At 44.1% G+C, this 18,527-nt stretch overlaps 1 protein-coding gene across 22 annotated transcripts in view, besides 3 other annotated features; it reads left to right on the forward strand.

Moving 5' to 3' along the window:
* Positions 1 to 18,527, forward strand: part of NTM (neurotrimin) — a 966,208-nt gene that overhangs the window by 483,691 nt on the left and 463,990 nt on the right. The gene's annotated exons all lie outside the window — the stretch shown is intronic.
* Positions 11,525 to 12,031: an enhancer, noted in NCBI's record as "H3K4me1 hESC enhancer chr11:131735724-131736230 (GRCh37/hg19 assembly coordinates)". NCBI's record gives its function as "activates a minimal SCP1, AML or CMV promoter by ChIP-STARR-seq in naive H9 embryonic stem cells {active_cell/tissue: H9 hESC(naive)}" and the evidence as "EXISTENCE:reporter gene assay evidence [ECO:0000049][PMID:30033119]".
* Positions 13,636 to 14,161: an enhancer, noted in NCBI's record as "H3K4me1 hESC enhancer chr11:131737835-131738360 (GRCh37/hg19 assembly coordinates)". NCBI's record gives its function as "activates a minimal SCP1, AML or CMV promoter by ChIP-STARR-seq in primed H9 embryonic stem cells {active_cell/tissue: H9 hESC(primed)}" and the evidence as "EXISTENCE:reporter gene assay evidence [ECO:0000049][PMID:30033119]".
* Positions 14,162 to 14,687: an enhancer, noted in NCBI's record as "H3K4me1 hESC enhancer chr11:131738361-131738886 (GRCh37/hg19 assembly coordinates)". NCBI's record gives its function as "activates a minimal SCP1, AML or CMV promoter by ChIP-STARR-seq in primed H9 embryonic stem cells {active_cell/tissue: H9 hESC(primed)}" and the evidence as "EXISTENCE:reporter gene assay evidence [ECO:0000049][PMID:30033119]".

The following is an 18,527-nucleotide window of genomic DNA, read 5'->3' on the forward strand; positions in this document are numbered from 1 at the left end:
AATGAAAAGGTACAGCATTAAACGACACCAAATTGTTTTTAAAAAGGAAAACTTCTTTTGCTCACAAGCACTGTATAGACAATAAAGAGATGTACAGGATAGCTGGGGAATTCGCATGGTGTAAAGTCAGGTAAAGTCTTTCCGAGGATGTGACATTTCAGTTGAAATCTGAAGGAAGAGGGAAAACCAGCACTGCAAAAAGCAGAAGGAAATGTACTCTACACCAAGGAAGCATCAAGTGCTGAGTCTTGACATCAGCATGAGCTCAGTATGTTGGAAAATCAAACAGAGGTGAATGTGCTTGGAGCCCAGTGTGGGAGGGAGAGTAGAGGTAAGTTCGGGAGATAGGGGAAAAATTAGGCCACGATAAGGAGTTTGGATTTTGTTTTAAGAGCAATGGGAAGACTTTGCAGGTTTTGAAGGAGAGTGAATATTTAATTTATTGTACAAATGCAGATACTTTTGAAATTAAAAGGGGCACTCTTAATCATTAGACCTGGACACAGGGCATAAACTGGGTGCTGCAGGTAACTTGGGATGTAGGTTTTTCCTGGTTTCAAGTAGTATGGAGACAAAACTTCTGTTTCTAAAAGATTGTTCAAACTGCTTAGCAAATAATACATAGGAGAGTGAGGGTGGAAATGCAGGCAATATAGACCAATGCAATGCACAGATTTGGGAAGGGAGGAATGAAGATGCGGATGTGTGGGACCGGTGCTGATGGGAACATCTGGGCCCTGTGTCTGTGAGGTGCTGAAATGCAGCAGAGTCCCAGTCCTGGACAGGGAACACAGGTGATCTGGCAATTCTAGATCATCAGAATGAAGAAGCACCACTTGCAGCTTAGAAATAGTAAATTTAGAACAATTTAAGCGGAGGACTTTTTACCCAGCAGGTAGTACGTACAAGAAACTTGCTACTCCAAGACGTGATTGAGACTCACAATCTATCAAGGTTAAAAGAAAACGAATGGAATGAGTTGCTAAGGGAAACTTGGTTATTTTGGGTATGTCCATAATGTTTTGATATTAATTTAAATGAAAGTTTACCACAGCCTCTCCATACCACACTCAGAAGCAATAGAGGACTGAAAACCTTTGTGGATAACTCTGACAATTTTCACATCTTAAATTCCCCACTCTACCAACAAGCTCAGATCTTACTCATTCCAGCAAAGAAAACAAAACAGATAACACACAAAAAAACAAAGCTTTCTTTTGTTTCTGCCTTTCCTTAAACTACCACATCATTTTCCTTTTTCCTGTTATTGCCAAATCTCTTGAAGTAGCTGTGTATGTACACTTGATAGCCTTCATTTTCTTGCCTTCTGTTGCTCCTTAAATCAATGCCTTTTAACTTTCATCCTAACAATGTGTTTAAAGAACAGTCAAAATTCTTCAGCACAGTGAAAATTCCTTAATATCAAATGCAATTACATTGCTCTTCGGATCCTTCTGTCTTGTTTGCAGCCCTAGGAGGTCTTTAAGCTCCCTACACATCAGAGACCCCCACCTCCCTGCATGGATTTTGACTTCCTTGGGGTAAGGACTGTGCTGGATCAATCCTCCATCCTCAATAGCTAGCTTAGTGTCTGACACACGTCAGATATTTATGAAATATTGTGGACTTGGATTTGGTTTAAAATGGCCTACCCTGTTCTCTGCCAGATCCCCACGCCTGAAGATGGTGAGTGTCCAATAAATGTTTGTTGAATACATGAAAGAAGAAACTCCTGGACTGATTAGACAGTCGCTGCGTATTTATTGATCCCTTCTAGGGCACAATACTGTGTTTGGAGCACTGGTACTTGCTGGGGTGAATAAAGTGAGAATCTTACAGCCACGGTCTTAGTTTCCTCATCATCCTTTCTTTCACTCTTTAGCAGCTTACAATGCTAATTTTTTCCACATCTCACTGCTACTGCAGAAACTCCATCTCTAAGAGTATGGAAATGTCCTTAAAAACATCATATATAATGACTTTTTCTTAGACCCCAGGAAAATTATATATTGCATAATTTTATAATTAAGAGACAGAGATCATCTAATCTAAGAGTCTCCAAATTTTTCAACGAATAATACTCATTTCTTAATCCCCGTAACACCATTTTCAAGAATATCTCACCAAAATTATATTCAGCAACAATTTATTTTCTCCTTCAAATAAAGGCATATACATATCTGTCCTCAAAGCCACTGACCAGCATTCATTCACAACTGAATATTTATTGAGTTATTATGACCCCAGTGCTGTGCTGGATGCCAAAAATTAAATGATGAACAAAGCAGATTCCTTTCTTGATCTTACGATCTAGTTAATGGGAAAAATCCAAGCTTCCCATACTAGTTTATGTAATACCAGCCAAAAGAAAAGAAATGTCTTATTTAGATTCAAGCGCCCTTTGAAGATGTATGTATTCTTTTATGCATGTGTTTGAAAATTTTAAAATATGCCTGACTACCTTGGAGGCTGTACTATACTGTGGGAATGTCCAGATGTGAAGCCATTCACCTGGTCTAATAGCCCATTTTACAGGCAAGGACGTTAAGGCCCATCCAGAAAGCTTTATCATAGCTTGCTAAGGATCACACATCTAAGCAATGATAAAACTGGGGCTGGCAGCCAGGTATACATTTGCAATCCTGTACTTTTTCCTTTTTTCTCCTTTGATAAAAAAGCCCTTGATCCTTTTTTTACCTTTTTATATAATCTTAAAGTATCTAAGAAGTTTGTTAGCCCTAGAACCTGTTTAACTTGGTTTAATCCAGCATTTTCCAAATGTAACTTACCCACTATCCTCTAATGTCACTGGGCAGTTGTCACCATCTCCTGGGACACAGGCCTTCCACAGAACAGACACAGGTCAACACTGACCCAGATAGTGAAGTTCTAACTCCTTTACTTGTCGTTGAAGTCTCCTAACCCCAATGTTGCCATCTCTGTCTTCCATGACTCTATGCATCCTCTTCTAAAATTATACTATACCCCTGAGCTATTTGATTCCCTTCCCCGAATATGCCTTGCCTTCCATGGCTGTGTCCTTTCTCACATCATGTCTTGGCCTGCTGCAGCGTCCCCTTCCTATCAGCCCATCTCAGTTCCAGACATCTCTCCAGCTTCCCATTCAGTGGCCCTCAATGAGTCCAGCTGGAAATCATCATTTCTCCTCTCCCTCCCATAGTACTCACTGGCTGTACCTTTCATCTGGCAGTGAAAATGCATTACTCCTTGCTGCTAGTTCTCTTTGCGTGTTCACACGTCTTTTCCTGGGGATAGGAACCTTGTCTTTTTCTTTGTAACTCCCACAGGACAAGCAGTCAGGAAAAACGAGAAATTTGAAAGCTAGTCAGGATTTCTCCTTCTCCCTCACCCTCACTAAATGACACCGCAGATTTGTACATCTTTCCTATCTCCATTGCTAAAGCCTTAATCCTGGCCTATTATTTCTTGTTTAGTCTATGTTATTGTCTCCTAACTTGTCTCCTTATCTCCTGGCTCACCCACCTCCAATCATCCTCCCTGCACCCTCCTGCTAGATGACCTTTCTAAACTAGAAATCTGATCAAGTTATTCCAATGACATCTCATCATTTGCAGGATTGAGCTTCGTCTCCTTCAGGTAACATAAAAGACCCTTTATTGTCTGGTTCCTGACAGCTCTCCCCCTTTCTCTGTCTCCCCCAATTTCCTTCATACCCCTCTCTCTGCCTACTCCATCTCTTCCAGCCTCCGCCCCGCCCATGCCTCACCCTTCCTTTCCAGTCTACATTTTATCATACTGAGCTCTTATGAGGTTCTGGAATACATAAGTTGTTTTGTGATTTCTGTACATGCTATTGTGTTTGCTTGAAATGCTAACCCTTGCCTTCCTACACACTCTCTTTTCTTCATGCTATACTTTTTCATTTCTTTTCATTGGCTCTGCTTCTGTTAGTTACTTTGCGGAAGCTTCTATGAATAGGCCAGGATGAGCAAGTTGATTCTCTCCCTCTCTCCCTCTCTCTTTCCATTTCTCCTTACCCGCCCCCACCCATGCACATATTATTAGACACATTGCTTTGCAATTATTGAAATATTTATCTGTTTCCCCAGTTGGGCTAAGAGCAGAGGGGAATGCTGTTTGGACAATCCTTGTATCTCCGTCTTCTACTAAAGAATCTGGCCAATGTGAGGAGCTCAGTATTTTTTGAGTAAATCAACACATGTATAAATTGTCACCATTCGTAGAACCCAGGAGGTTTTCCGCACGCTGGTGGGCTAAGTGAATATAAAATCGGATGGTAAGTTAAGTGAGAAGAGCCCTGCAAATGAGGCAATAGCAGCCGCAGGTGCTTTGTTCTCACCTAAGCGGACACCGAGCTCACTGGCTTTGCTGAAGCAGCTCTGCAGCACGTTGAGCCGCAGCAGCTGGAATTGCTCTCGTCTGAATCCTCCCTTCTGGAATAGGGAACGAGGGAGTGAAAGACTAGCACATAATCTGTGGGGCTTAATCTTTCTTTGCAAATCCCCAAATACTGTGAAATTGGCAATAATCCAGGCAACTCCAAACTTCTGCTCACCAAATAGTCCCCACCCTGCTTCTACAGAGGGCAGCTCAGGTGTTTTAAATGCGGAAGTAGCTAGTAGAGAGCAACTTCACTCCTGTAACCTAATTCATTCTCAGCCTGGAAAATGGAACGTAAACATCACAACCTCAGCCAGTCAGAGTTTTGCCGCACTTCAGCTCCTAGGAAATCATTTCAATTCCTCAAAGTCTATTTTCCCCTTCAACATCCATCCATCCATCCATCCGTCCATCCATGTGTGCATCCGTCTGTCCGTCTGTCCGTCCATTCATCCGAGAGACACATCGGGTGTCTTCCTGGTGCCAGGTATGTTTCAGAGAATATGGTTATGTTTATAGAGTTCACAATTTAGTAAATATTTTGTGTCATCTAAGAGTGCTCTAAAAATCTATAATCCTGACCAGTAGAAAAAATAAAACTTTTGAAAATTAAGGTTTCAAGAAAGCTCTTATTTCTTAAAACTGTATAGAGGACTGAAAATCTGGAGCTAATAAAGACCTTGGTACGGTTGACTTTCCCGTATGTGCTACTGGGAATCCAGGTGTCTCAAGGGACAATTAAGAGTATGACTGCCTCTTGTCCCTTTCGAGTAGTCCTTTGAGGGTTGTTTTATCTTTCTCCCATTTTAACCATATTTTACAAGTCTAACAAGACTTGAGAGGGTGATGCTCTGAGACTTCACTTGTGTTCTTGAGACACATACTCGAGTGGGATCTTGGTTCCATTACTTTCCAGTTCTGTGACTTGGCTACTTTCTATAACCGCTCTTTCCCTTGGTTTCCTCATCTGGAAAATAGGAATAATAATAACACTCATTCTCTAGTGCATCCCATGGTGAATGCTAGCTGAAATCAACATATGTAAAAGGCTTTGCAAATGCCTGGTTTAACGGAAGTGCTCTACAAACAGTATTGAAGAGGATGATGTCGATTATGATAGTAAAAATAGATTCTGAGACACTTTGTATTTCCATTTTAGAAGTGCCTCCCCTTTTTTTTTTCTCCTTTTCTCTTTCTGAGACTATTAAAGGTTGTTCTTATCAGTAAGGGCAGCTTTTCCCCTTTTCTCACTTCCTCCCCACTCCCCCTTTGTCTGGAGGTTCCTTGGCAGAAAGGAACATGTGTTTCTTATATGTGAGTAACTCTGATATCTATTAGAGTCTGCTGAGTGCAGAGAGCTTAGTCACTCCTGGGGGATGATGCGTCTATATCGGGCCTCAGCTCCTATCTACAGCCTCCGTCAATGTCAAAAAGATTTCAGGGCAGGTGTGAGGTTTAGAATTGAGGGAAGGACAAGAGCTAGTGAGACAGCCTTCACTGAGAGAGGGACTGACGGGGCCCCCATGACCATCTCGTGTTTGGAGGGTCTCTGGAAGGGCTCCTGAGACTCAGCACACAGTGCTGCTCATGGCTGGGCTTTATTCCTGTGCCATGGTGAGGACACAGGGCTGGATCATAAGGGGTCAAGGCACAGGCAGAGTCTGAAGGAACCCATGTGAGACTTTCTTATGCTCTTTCCGTCCCAAGAGGGTCCCACAGAGCCCACTGTCCCTCCACAAAAATGCAGCAAAACATGTGGGATGTTTCTGCCCAGGGAAGCCCAGTAGAGACTCAGAGTCTAAGGTCTTAACTGGACGCTGGTCATATCGTCACCCTCTCCCTAGCACTTACTAACATACCAGATTCCCAGAAGGAAAATACGTATTCAGCATAAACCACATTGCTTGCACGGATAATCTAGGCACAAGGAGCCACGCTTACTAGTTAACGAACAGTGGAAACCTTCCTGAAATCCAAGTTTTCTGGTGCCAGCCAAGGACCAACCATGCAAGCAGGCCTTTCTAAGGGCAGCAGGTCCCAGGAAGTACACTTTCACCACCCCCTGAATTCTTAGCTACATTTCCTTGGTAGAGGTGATGGTGGGGCTACATCATCTTTCTGATTTGCACAACCTTCATGGACACACGTTTATCTCCCTGTCTCTTGCTGGCTACATACTTATGAAAAAGGCCTGGCTGCCAGAGGCATGATAATGCCAAAGACACTGATGTCCACAACTGGGCACCTCCTTGTGAGCTGGCATCACTTAGAATCGAGCCTGATTTGCCAGGGGCTTTTGCACCCTGTCGGTTGGCCTCCACTTCCCTTAGGGTGTAATCTTAGTCCCCTAGGATTTCTTCAGCCCTACCCCTGGCTTTCTGGCTTTCCCATGGGTATCCTGTTACTGAGAGCTGAGCATGAAGGGGACAGTGGAGTCAGAAAAAATATCCCTGTCAGCTGCCAAAAGAAGACATCATTTTCCATTGCATGTGAGCTCTATTATGAAGAGCTAGGAAGGGCCTACACATCAACACCAAAATATTAATAAAAAGAAGGCTGTACGGTCCTATCCCCAAGTGCTAAAAAGACTTTAGACCAATGTGACCTGTGGTATAATTGCACAATTTCAAGCAGCCTTTCTAAATTAAAACGTAATCCCCCAGCAGTGAGGGGCTTGGGTGGCCCCTCCCCCTCCCTGGGATTCATTTCTCTCTTCCAGGCCCATCTCTTTCCTGCCGTAAATCTCTTTCCTTCTGTCTCTCTGTCTGTTCATCCTTCTATGTCCTCTATCTAGCTTTTCCTTTCTTGATAAAAATTAAGGAAAAACAACTTGATAGATTTTCCGATAACCTTCTAGAAAGTCTCACCGGGTTACATTTTGCTTTAATAGCATTTAAGCCAATCTGCCTGATGTTGCTGTAAAGGTCAATTAAATTCACCCTAAAAATTTCACTCCTGGCTCATTATACAATTGGAAAATGAATTAGAAGCACATGCTGCCCCTGAGGTTTCTGATATTTCACTAATGAATATGTCTTAAAATGCAAAAAGAAAAAAAAAGAGAGAGAGAAAAGAAAAAAAGGTGTTGTAGGCCACACAGCAGCTTGCAGTGCTACCAGCTGGTGCAGAACATTGTCATAGGCAGTGGTCTGAGACTAGTGAACACTAGGTAGGCCTGTCTCCACTCCACATTCAGAGGTGTTCACAGGTCCCAAATGCACGTGGGTCTGGTCAGCTCTTCACCACTCCTCTGCACATCCAGAGCCCACTGTTAAACCCCAGGGGAGGCATCCAGCTCACCTGACTCTTCGTTGGCTGCTCTTAGTGCGGTCTCAAGGACCACAGTTCAGTTTAATATCAGCCTGAGCAAAATGTGATTCTGAAGGTAAATCTACAAGGATCTTTGTGGGCAGAGCACGTGTGTTGCAAAGCCAGGTCTCAGTTGATCTGGGGATTCTCAGACTGTCTGAGAATTTTAGCATTGTAACTGTCTGAGGAGAGAACAGCCCTGTGGAGGAGGGAACATGTATTTCTGGGTCACTCTGAGGGCACAACTGGGGCCAAGAGTACAGAGAACACAAAGTCAAGTTTGAGCCCGACTTAAAGAAGTAATTTTAACTGACTTTCTCCCCAACTCCTGACAAAAGAAAGCCATCAGACAAGATAGCAACTTCCTGGTCCCTGAGGAAGGCTTCAACAGAACTGAGCAACCCTATCCCAGGAGTCCATGTTTCAGGTGGAAGTCTCCTTAATTCATTCACTCATTTCTTCATTCTGCATATTTATTGCTGTGTCCTAGACAGTACTAATCTTGAGAATGAACACAATTGCCTAGTTGTTATGTATGAATCGAGGGTTGTTTTTTATTTTTGTTTGATGGTAAGGTTATATTTTAAAAGAATATACCATATCTAAGTCCCTAGTTTCAAAAACTGTCCTAAAATTCAGATTTTTGCTCACATTGGAGTTGTAAAGGACTTTCATGTTCCTCTTATAGCAAAGGCTGTGACTTTTCTGCTTTCATGAAACTGCAAACTGGTATTTATTTTAGGACAAGATGGCTCCAAACCTCGAAATATGAGTTATTGGATGTCTGTCTTCAGGTTTAAGTATAAACCTAGCTGAATTGACTAAAACATATAGAGACAATCTCTCAAGCCTTTCAGAGCGGAGAGAGGAAGTCTGGTTGCTATCCTCCATGCCTCACAGATGTTCCTATAGGATTTTAGGATTCCAGACTAGAAGTGACATTGAGGTCATCTCACTGAAGCTTATCCTGTCTAAAACGAGGAAGCTGAGGAGGCTTCCCTTGGGTAGTACAAGAACAAGACATTCTTCAGCCAGGGTCTCTAGACTCAAGAGCAGTGTTCTTTCATGGTACCATATTGACTTCCTCCATTTGCAAAATTGTGCTACTCACATGTATGGTGTTTTGGAAGGTGGAACCAAAATTTCTAGGAAGAGTGAGATTGCAAACCATCATCATGTGTGTTGAGAGTGGCCAATCAGGCAGTGAAGAAAGGGGGAACTGGTGAAGCCCTGGGCATTTCACCTCAGGGCTGCTGTCTCTGGCACCCTGATGGTGCTCCTCAAAGCCTGCTTCTGAAAGATTTCATCCAGGTGTTGTTGATGTTTCCCATTCCATTTCCTGGTGTCTCCATGTCCTTTTTCTTTATTGCAAACCTGGTGTCAGCAGATGTTCTTGGGGTCCTCCTGACTCCACTGTGCAGCAGGCTGAGTGCAGTCAGACTGTCATTGAGAAGTACTGTAACCTGGGTCCAGGAAGCGATGCTCCAAGTCACTCAGCCACTCCTCAGCATCACTGACACTCAGCATTCTAACCTTGGAACTGCAGAAATATAGTCGAATGCAAAGGCCATGAGCTAGAGATTCATGTTTGAATGAGGAAGGGGATTTCCCTTTCCTTCTTTCTAAACTGAACCTGCAAACCATAACATGGAAAGCTGAATACTGTCCTGTCTGACGTCCACAAGAGCGGGATATGGAGAAACATGAGCACAGACTCAGGTCCCTCCCTCCTCCCATCTGCCTTCTCTTCCCTAAAAATCTTCCACAGGTTCAGGATGTCCTGCTGCCAATCAAACATGAGCTCCCATGCCACATGGCTGGGGAGGACCAGCCAGCGCTTGTAGGCCTGGCAAAATTGAGGATGCATTTTGATTTACTCACATTTAAATATCAGAGCTAGTTTTGATGACATACTATGTAACTGAACATAATCAAGTTTCAGATAAACCAGAGCAGGCCCCAAAAGTGCACCTGATGAATTTCCTTGTAGAAATGGAGTGTTGGCAGAATAAGAAATGGAATGCATGGAGTGCCCAGCATAAGAAGTCGGGGGTCAGGGAGGAAAGGAGGGAAGGAAGGAAGAGAAGTGAGAGGCAGGGAGTTAGATCAGTCAATCACACAATTACCCTGAAGACAAGAAATAGAAGGACTATCTAATTTAGGATGTTATATATCCTCTTGAAATGTAAAGATTTAGACAAGAAAAGGGGCAGGGGAGAAAAGCAATCCAACGAAAGACGAAACAAATCCATCAGGGCAGGATCCATCAGGAAGGAAAGAGTGTGGAGCGACTCCTTTGCTTAATGCGGGCTTCTGGTCAGTCCCTGGAGCTTGTCATGTGACAGCAGGATTCTCCTGCTGCTGGAGAGCCTAATAGGCAGGATTGGTCCAGGAACTCCTCCCGCTGGACTGACTGGTTTCAATTAAGACTATCACAAAGGCTAATTATCATTTTAAACCTGACTCTCAGGCTCACTCTCCCTCTTGCTGTAAATGGATTGCTTAATGGTCCCAGTGCAAGGCTCTGAAACCCTGGAGGTTTCCTATTATTTCTTTGCCTCCAGCAGGGACCAGGGACTTCTAGAGTGTTAGGTTTCAAGGGAGAATAAGAGTAGCAATACCCTCTTTCTTTTTCACAGAAACAAAGACTGTTAGCATTGAGGGAATGTTCGATTTTGGTTTTGATATAGTCGGACCTTCTACTGCATGAAAGAGTTTCCCTATGTGCCACCTCTGACCAGGATTTCCTGGCATTGTTTGAACACAACTGGTGAGAGGGAGCTTGTTACCTCCTGGTCCATTTTGGACAGTTCTCATATTCAGAATGTCTCTCCTAATGTTGAGCTGATATCTGCCCTTTTTAATGTCCATGATTCTTTCCCAGTTCTGCCCTGTAATGTTTCTGGGCTTAGACAACTGACAGTCGACTGAGCCAGCAGGGCCTGAGCTTGGGAAAGAGGAAAGCTTGGCAACCTCTCCCGCACCGGCCCAGTGGGTCTCCCACCTCCAGCACCATTCTGTGTGGGTGTTCCATGTTCTGGAACCTGCCTCAAGTTGCCCAGTCTTTGTTAGATGAGCACATGCTTCATTTTCTGGGCTGTATCATGCGCTCTACCCTGAGACAATGTACAAGTCCCCAAAGGCAGGTATTAGTATCCCCATTTACAGATAAGAATGCTGAGGCTTAGAAAGATCGAGTAGCCTACCCCTGATCACATGGCTGACAAATGGCAAAAGCCAACACTCAAGCCCCTTCTGTTGGATCCCAAAGCCTGTTTTACTATGTCACACCAAGACAAAATTCAGAGTATACAGTTTGCCAGGTAACAATGTGCTTGTGAGCATAATATAAATCAATGTGTGAAGTTGGGAGTGTCCAGAAGACCCCTGAATGTGTTGTATTTATATGAACTATGTGATTGGTTACCACCGGAGCTATTCCAAAGGCAATCACTGTATTGTGCTCACCCAGCCTAACAATTCCCTTGTGCTCTGCACTTGATAGCTGGTTTAAAAATCAAAACCCAAAACAAGCAAACAGAACAATGCTAGCAGATTCTTAGTACAGTTGCATGCACGTGCTTAGCCTGGCCTAGTGGGGCAGGCTCCCTGCCCTCACACCCTGCTCAACCCTCTTATGCTCACAGGTGCACACACACAGGTACACACTACACACACACTCACATACACACCAAAAACACAGACACCCCACACACTGACACACCCCACCTGCTCTCACACGTTGCACACACACAAGCTACACACACATGCTACATACACACATGCTACACACACACCTCCCACACTCACACATGCTACATACACACATGCTACACACACACCTCCCACACTCACACATGCTACATACACACATGCTACACACACACCTCCCACATTCACACATGCTACATACACACATGCTACACACACACCTCCCACACTCACACATGCTACATACACACATGCTACACATACACCTCCCACACACTCTCACACATGCTACATACACACATGCCACACTCTCACACATGCTACATACACACATGCTACACACACACTACACACACACCCCACACACTCTCACACATGCTACATGCACACACACACACATGCTGCACACACATGCCTCACATACACATGCATGCCGCACACACACGGTGCACACACACAGCACACACACCACATGCTGTTCACACCCTCATGCTGCACACACACATGCATGCGTTGGCAGGTGCTTCCTTTTCACCCTTCTTTTTCCATTCAGCCTTGTCCCAAATTTACATGGGAATAAATAAAAAACAAAGCAAAGATTGCCTGTGGGGGTGGGGCTGTCCCCCTCAATGGCATCTGCAGGTTGCTGGCTGTGTTTTGCAGCCCGAGGCCTATTTCTCAGTCCCAGCTCCTTGGGGCCAGAAGCCTGGAACAAACCCAAGGGCAGGCCTTAGGCACGGGGACCTGCCCTGACTCCTCCGTAGGGCCAGGTTGGCCATGCCTTCAGAGCTCCAAATCCCAAAGGAATGAGTATGCAAAACTAAGACCCACCTCACATTAATTTAGTGGGTGAACTGTGTGTCTCCCCCTCCCCTGCAAATCTATATGGACTAAAAATACCTGCGCCCTCCATGGCGCCCAAGACTGCTGACAAAGGAATTTGCATTTGCAGTCAGAAACACCCTCGGATTATTTTTGAAATCACCTCCCTTACATTTTAAACAGGTTGGTGGATTCATCATTTAGGCTGCCACCAGGAGGCAGCTATTAAGAGATGTGACTGGGAATGGCATTTTTCTTAAAAAAAAGTGGCGATTTCACTACAATGTCGTGATTTTTTTTGGCTTAAAAATAAAATCTGTTTGAACCTAGGATTCTTTAGACAAACTGATATCTTCAGGGAAAGTAGATTAATAGGAAATGTTTTTGGAGGAACCAGGTGTCTTCCCAGTTCCCGTGGAATGACAGCAAGGACAGTGCGCGGCAGCCAAGATGGAGAACAGGGAGGAGGTGGGGGAAGGGGGCACTCCCTTTCCTTCTGGGCCTCTTGGACTAGGGGAGGGGAGGACAGGGTGCAATCGCAGGATCAATTAGCAGCCCAAAAGTAAATTAGCCAGGAAATTAGCTTTTCAGGTGTCCAACTGTGTGTCTTCTCAAAGACTGCAGTCCTACCCATCTGCTATTTACGCTTTGTGCAGGGCTCGGGAAAGAATGTGGTCCCACTTACACATCCAGCCTGCCAGAGAGCAGGTCTCAGGGATGCCTAAACGCAGTGGGGAAGTTGGAAGGATCCGCAAAGGCTGGAGTGGAGAGGTTGCAGCAAGGAGGAAAACGCTGTGTGCGTGCGGATGGAGAGGTCTGCCTGTATGTTTGTCTGTGTGTCTGGGGGTGTGTGTGTGACCGTGTGTGTCTGTATGTGTGTTTACGTCTGTGTGTATCAGTGTGAATAACCATATGTGTATGTGTGTGTGTGTCTGTGTGTGTCTGAGTGTGTGTCTACCTGTTTATCTGTGAGCGTGTGTACACGTGTGTATTGTGTAAGTGTATCTGTGTGTGTGCGTGTTTGGGTGTCTGTGTGTGTCTGCCTGTGTGTATGTGTGTGTACACATACCTGTGTGTGTATGTATGCATGTGTGTGTCTGTGTTTATGTCTGTGTATCTGTATGTATAACCATGTGTGCATTTCTTCATATGTATGTCTGTGTGTCTGTAGGAGTCTAGGTCTGGGTGTCTGTGTGTGTAAATGTGTCTGTGTGTATGTATATGCCTGTGTGTATGATGCGGGCATGAGATTTGCAGAGAGGGTGTTGGGGCACAAAATGAGGACTTGGTTTACACACAAGCACAGGCCACGGAACCCCACCACCAGCAGATGGAGCTGAAGGTACAGTTTTGCGGGAGGCCAGGCTGAACTGCCAGCTGTTTTGGTTTGCTGGAGACCTCAGAAAGAATGACCATGTTGAGTGGAAGAGCTATCTGCATGGAGAGAGAGGAAACCCCAAACACACCCTGGAGTCTTGCTTCTTCACTACGAAGCCAGTATTGTTTTGACTTGCTGATTGAATTGCAGGTGGAAACTAAATACATCGTACCTTGCTTTATTTCAGTGTGTGATTGGGAGATAAGGGTCCCCCTGTAGCCAGTTTAGAATTAGAATTTTAAAGTCTGGATAAACCTTAAAGAATCCAAGGCATCCTTTTGCTTTACAGATGAGAAAAAAAGGAGCTGAATTCTCTGGCGTTTTTGTTTCCTCGCCCTCACTCTGTCCAAGCCCCGCAGCCACCCACCCTTTTTTGTCCCAGTCTTTCGTATCAAAACCTCCCTCCTACCTCTTTTTCCTTCCTGTCCAGTACAGTCTTTGATCACCTCCCACCTGAGCTCATTCAATGGTCTCCTAACTGGCCTCCCTGCCTGTGGGCTTTCCGCACTCCGGCCCTCTCCACACCACCACAAGGTTAACCTTCCAGCCCAGCTCTGATTGTGTCGGGCTCTGTGCAGACCCTTCAGTGGGCCGCCACTGCCAGCAGCTGCAGAATCAAACCCGGCTGTAGCCTGGCTCCAATCTGGAAATGACACACCTTTCCAGCCTCACACTGGGTCACCTCTTTTGCCCTCCCTCTTCGAGAGCCAAACTGAGTTTCTTGCGATGTCCGTGCACACCCTGAGCTCTGTGTCACTCTACCTTTGTTATTGTTTTCTTTTTCAATTTGTCCTCGTCGTATTTTATTTCCAAATGACTCCTCAAATCTCCCCTTCACATGCTACCTTCCCTATAAGGCTGTCCTGATGACATCAGCAAGAAAGATCTATTTCCTGCTCTGATCTCTCCAGGCACTTCCTCTTGACCCCTCTGCTGTAACCTGGGCCTTTCACTGTGATTATCTGTATTCACATCCCATCCCTCTGTCTTGAAGAGACTCACCACTTTGTTTTCCCACTACTGTTGCATATAGGAACTCAATAAAGTTTTGTGGGCAAATGAATACAAGTATTTGACCTTACATACATTTTTCCCAGCTCAGCCTGCATTTGACGTGGTTTATGGTGGTTTCCTCAGCTCAGTCTTTCCCACTGACAGACAGCATGACCACGTGCAATCACCCCCCAGCCCCCCGCAATGTGCCTTCAGTATCCTCAACTCTCAATTGAGAACATGAGTAAAAATTAGTAGATTTCACTTTTTTTAATGTGTGTGCTATCCCCTAGCGTCAGGCAAGTTTATCTCCCGGGCCCTCTCCCTTCCTTGATGACTGGAAGAGGGAACAGGCGCAAACTCATAGCTGCTTCTCCCCGCCTACGCGCTATGACTTGTTGGAAAACCATTGTTTCAGAGGAGGAGTCCTTTCCGGCCCTGCCAGTCATTGTGTGATTTACAACAACTCCTTCTACCTTTCGTAGCTTGAAGACTTCCCCACTCTCCTTCGGGGTAGATGTGGAAGCAATATAAGAGTGAAGAAGTTCTACTGTCTCCGGCATCTGTTAACATTTCACTGGCTTCCCGAGAAATTGGCTCATCCTGTCCTTGCTCATCTTTTGTCCCAAGTAAAATTTAAAATTATTTCAGATGGCTTAGTCGATGCCAGCTTGTAGCCTTCCAACTGCTATTTCTAAAAATTTATGCTCTCATTTTATTTTATTCTTAGGAGGATGATAGACTTTTAGAAACAGAAGGAAACTTCAGTGATAATTCAGAAAATTTAATTTAATTGTAGATCTCAGGCCCAGGTGCCACTGTCCCATGCTTTCTTCCTTGTCCCTTGTCCTTCCTCATCTAAGATAGCTCCTGGAATTCCCATTGAAATGGAAGCAAATCTTAAGGTTAGAGCCTGGCCCATCCAGCTCTGAACAGTTACTGCTCTGTGAGCACGGCTCTCACTCACCTTTCCTATGCCTTAAGGACTTCACTGTTGGTACAGCTTTAAGTCAGCCGATATTTACTGATCACAGACCATGTGCTATGCAAAAGTCATCTTATTTCATTCACACCTCAGCTGTACAGAGCAGACGCTAATTTTACAAGATGGAAAACAGACACAGGAAGTTTAAGTAACTTGATGAATGGCCCTCACCTTCAGGAGGTGAAGCTGGGATAGAAGCCTGGGAATTCTGGCTCGAGTCTTTGCTTTTATCGAGTCCATTTTCATGCACTCTTGTGAAGGCAAAAGCTTAGGGGAAGGAAAAATAGTTCCATGCTGAAGTCACAGTAGAAAGAAAGTGGATGGGCTTTGGATTTAGAGACAGCTGAAATGAATCCTGGTTTTACCATTTACTTACATGATCTTGGGAAAGCTACTTTAATTTTCAGAGCAGTGGTTTCTTTATTAACAAAATGGGATAATAATACTATTGCAAATGAAATAGCACACTAACTGAAGTTGTATGTGTGCAATGCCTAGCAATGGCTCCTGGTTGAATATTGGGTGCTCTCTGAATGATGGTCTCTTTCCTCTGAGTAGAAAGCTTGGCAGCCCTTGTCCCGCCTGATGGGTGCCCCAGCCTGGTCATATGTCTGGAGCTTAGCCTAGCCTAAGGTTGGATTCCAGGCTGTGAGCCAGCGAGGGCCCTCCTCTTTAAGCAGTGCCCCTTTGTAGCTCTGAGCAGCTTCTCTCACCCCTCCCTACCTTTTCTGAGGTTCAAGGAATTCTATTCCCTTGAATCTTAAGGGGGAGAAAGTGCTGATAAAAAGACAACAACTTGCAAAATTTAGAAGCCAATTCTCAGAGAGAAAATGATTGAAATAAAACCCTTTTAGCACAGGACACAGCATTTCTCAATCAGAAATGAGCCTAAGAAATAACCCACATGTACTACCCAATACTTAATTTTCAAAAAAAGCTTATCTTCGGTCTCCCCACCTCCCCTAAAATGCAACATATTTGAGATGAAGACTCAAATGCGTCTTTTAAAAAATAGTCCTATTTCAGACCTGCTATAGTAGGTGTAGCAGAAAGAAGGTGGTAAGATTGGGTCTATTTAAGGACCTGACCTAACCTAAATACAGAATCTACAAGCTGCCATACAGAAGGAACAAATGTGAGAAAGCTCATCTGAAAGCACCATTACATTTTTATGAGACTGTAGCTGAATCTATTGTGAGTTTATTATCTGTTGCTGCACATGCAAAACACTACCAAGAAAGAGTTTGTGTGATCATGTGAGTGGGTATGCTTGTGTTTTAATCAGGGAGAACATGAAAACCAACATACGTTGTCCCTCTGAGTCTTGGCAGCTCAGAGTTAAATTTAGTGCTCAGTGGTGCTCAGTCGCCCAGCCCAGGTGGTGCTGGATACATTTCTTTCCTTGTTCATTTTAACTTTGTGTTCCTATTTTCATTTGTAGCTATTCTGCTTCATATATATTTTAACATCACAAGCTGTCTCAGACCCTTTTTCCAAGTAGGTGGAATATAAATCATGAGTAAATAAATAAAGCTACTGAGGCAATGAGTGACTTCTGAGGAAGTGGAGGTATCACAGGCAGGCAGACACAGCATGACTGAATGTTATTATAGTGTGGTTTATACTATGATGATACAACTATAGCTATTAGCGATCAAACATTGTTTATGCATTGTTGCCTCTTCTATGTTTATTAATTGATTTCTATAAGCTTACACAAATAGTTTATCAATATGAATACTTTGCATTTATGGGCTTGTTCTCTCCCTGTTAATCCAAGGAGATGCATGGAGAGAGGATTGCACCTGTTAGCTGCTCCTCTCTCCCTCCCCTCTAGAGACTCATCATGCTTTGTGGCTCCTGTAGGCCACCCTGCCCTGGGCTCCCTGGGGAAGTCTTTCTTCCTTTTCTTTCTGCATTTGCCACTGTTGGTCCCCTAGGTCTTTCCTTTGTCATCAGGTACTGTGTCTTCTCTTCCTTGTTTCCCTGCAGCTCCTGCAGTTTCTCCCTATGAAGAATAAAGAGCTTCAGCCAATTTCAGTCCTAAAATTTGGAGGAATGTGTCAGTATCTTCAAGGGATTTCCAAGCTCTTCCTGAAGACATGCTGTGTACACATGTCTTCATGTACACTCCCTTGCCACATTCAGGAGTTTCATTTATTCTTTCATGCTACTGGATTGTGTGTCAGTGCCTCTAAGACATCTTATTACCAAATCATTCTCCACTGGGTACAATTCCACCAAATTCCAGCCACCCTCAATCAAGAGTAAAGCAGGGTCACGCAGATCTGGCACAAACTATTCACAAACAGGTGAGGAAACAGAACTCAGGAGCTTGGGCCAGCCTTTAATTAACCTTGAGAAAGTCCTCCCTGGAGTTTTACTATGGCTCAGCAGCAACTGGCTTTTGGGTGGGAAGTGGCAGAATGGTTATGCACAAGGAGAAATAGATATTGACATACTGAGGAATACTTAGATTCGTCGATTTCTCAGTGTCCTTCGTTCTTGTTGTTTCATTTGTCTTGATTCCCCAAAAGGGCCAGTGGCTGCCTCACATATTGGCTTGTTCAGCCAGGATCTATGATCATGTTTTCCACTTCACAAAAGCCATCCTGCTCACATTACCAAACAGTTACCTATCATTTTCTGGCTCTCTGTCAAATTTTGGTAAATTTTGCAGAAGCCCAAAGGAGTTGGTATATCTCTCTGCATGTGTGCATGTATAGTTGAAAGAATATGAATGGTGTATTTATGAGTATAAAATGGAATTGTAGTATTTTAAGAGCCCGTCTAATTTGGTGATTCATATTTTTATATCATTTGATAGTGGCTAGATTGAAAGCTGGTACCATTAAGATTTTGTTAAAGAATTATAGTATCATACTGTGGGGTAATTAGACCAGATTTATAGGGGACAATGTTGACACTTAAAACCAGCAAGAGAAT

This window comes from Homo sapiens, chromosome 11 (assembly GCF_000001405.40).
Source record: "Homo sapiens chromosome 11, GRCh38.p14 Primary Assembly".
Lineage (NCBI taxonomy): Eukaryota > Metazoa > Chordata > Mammalia > Primates > Hominidae > Homo > Homo sapiens.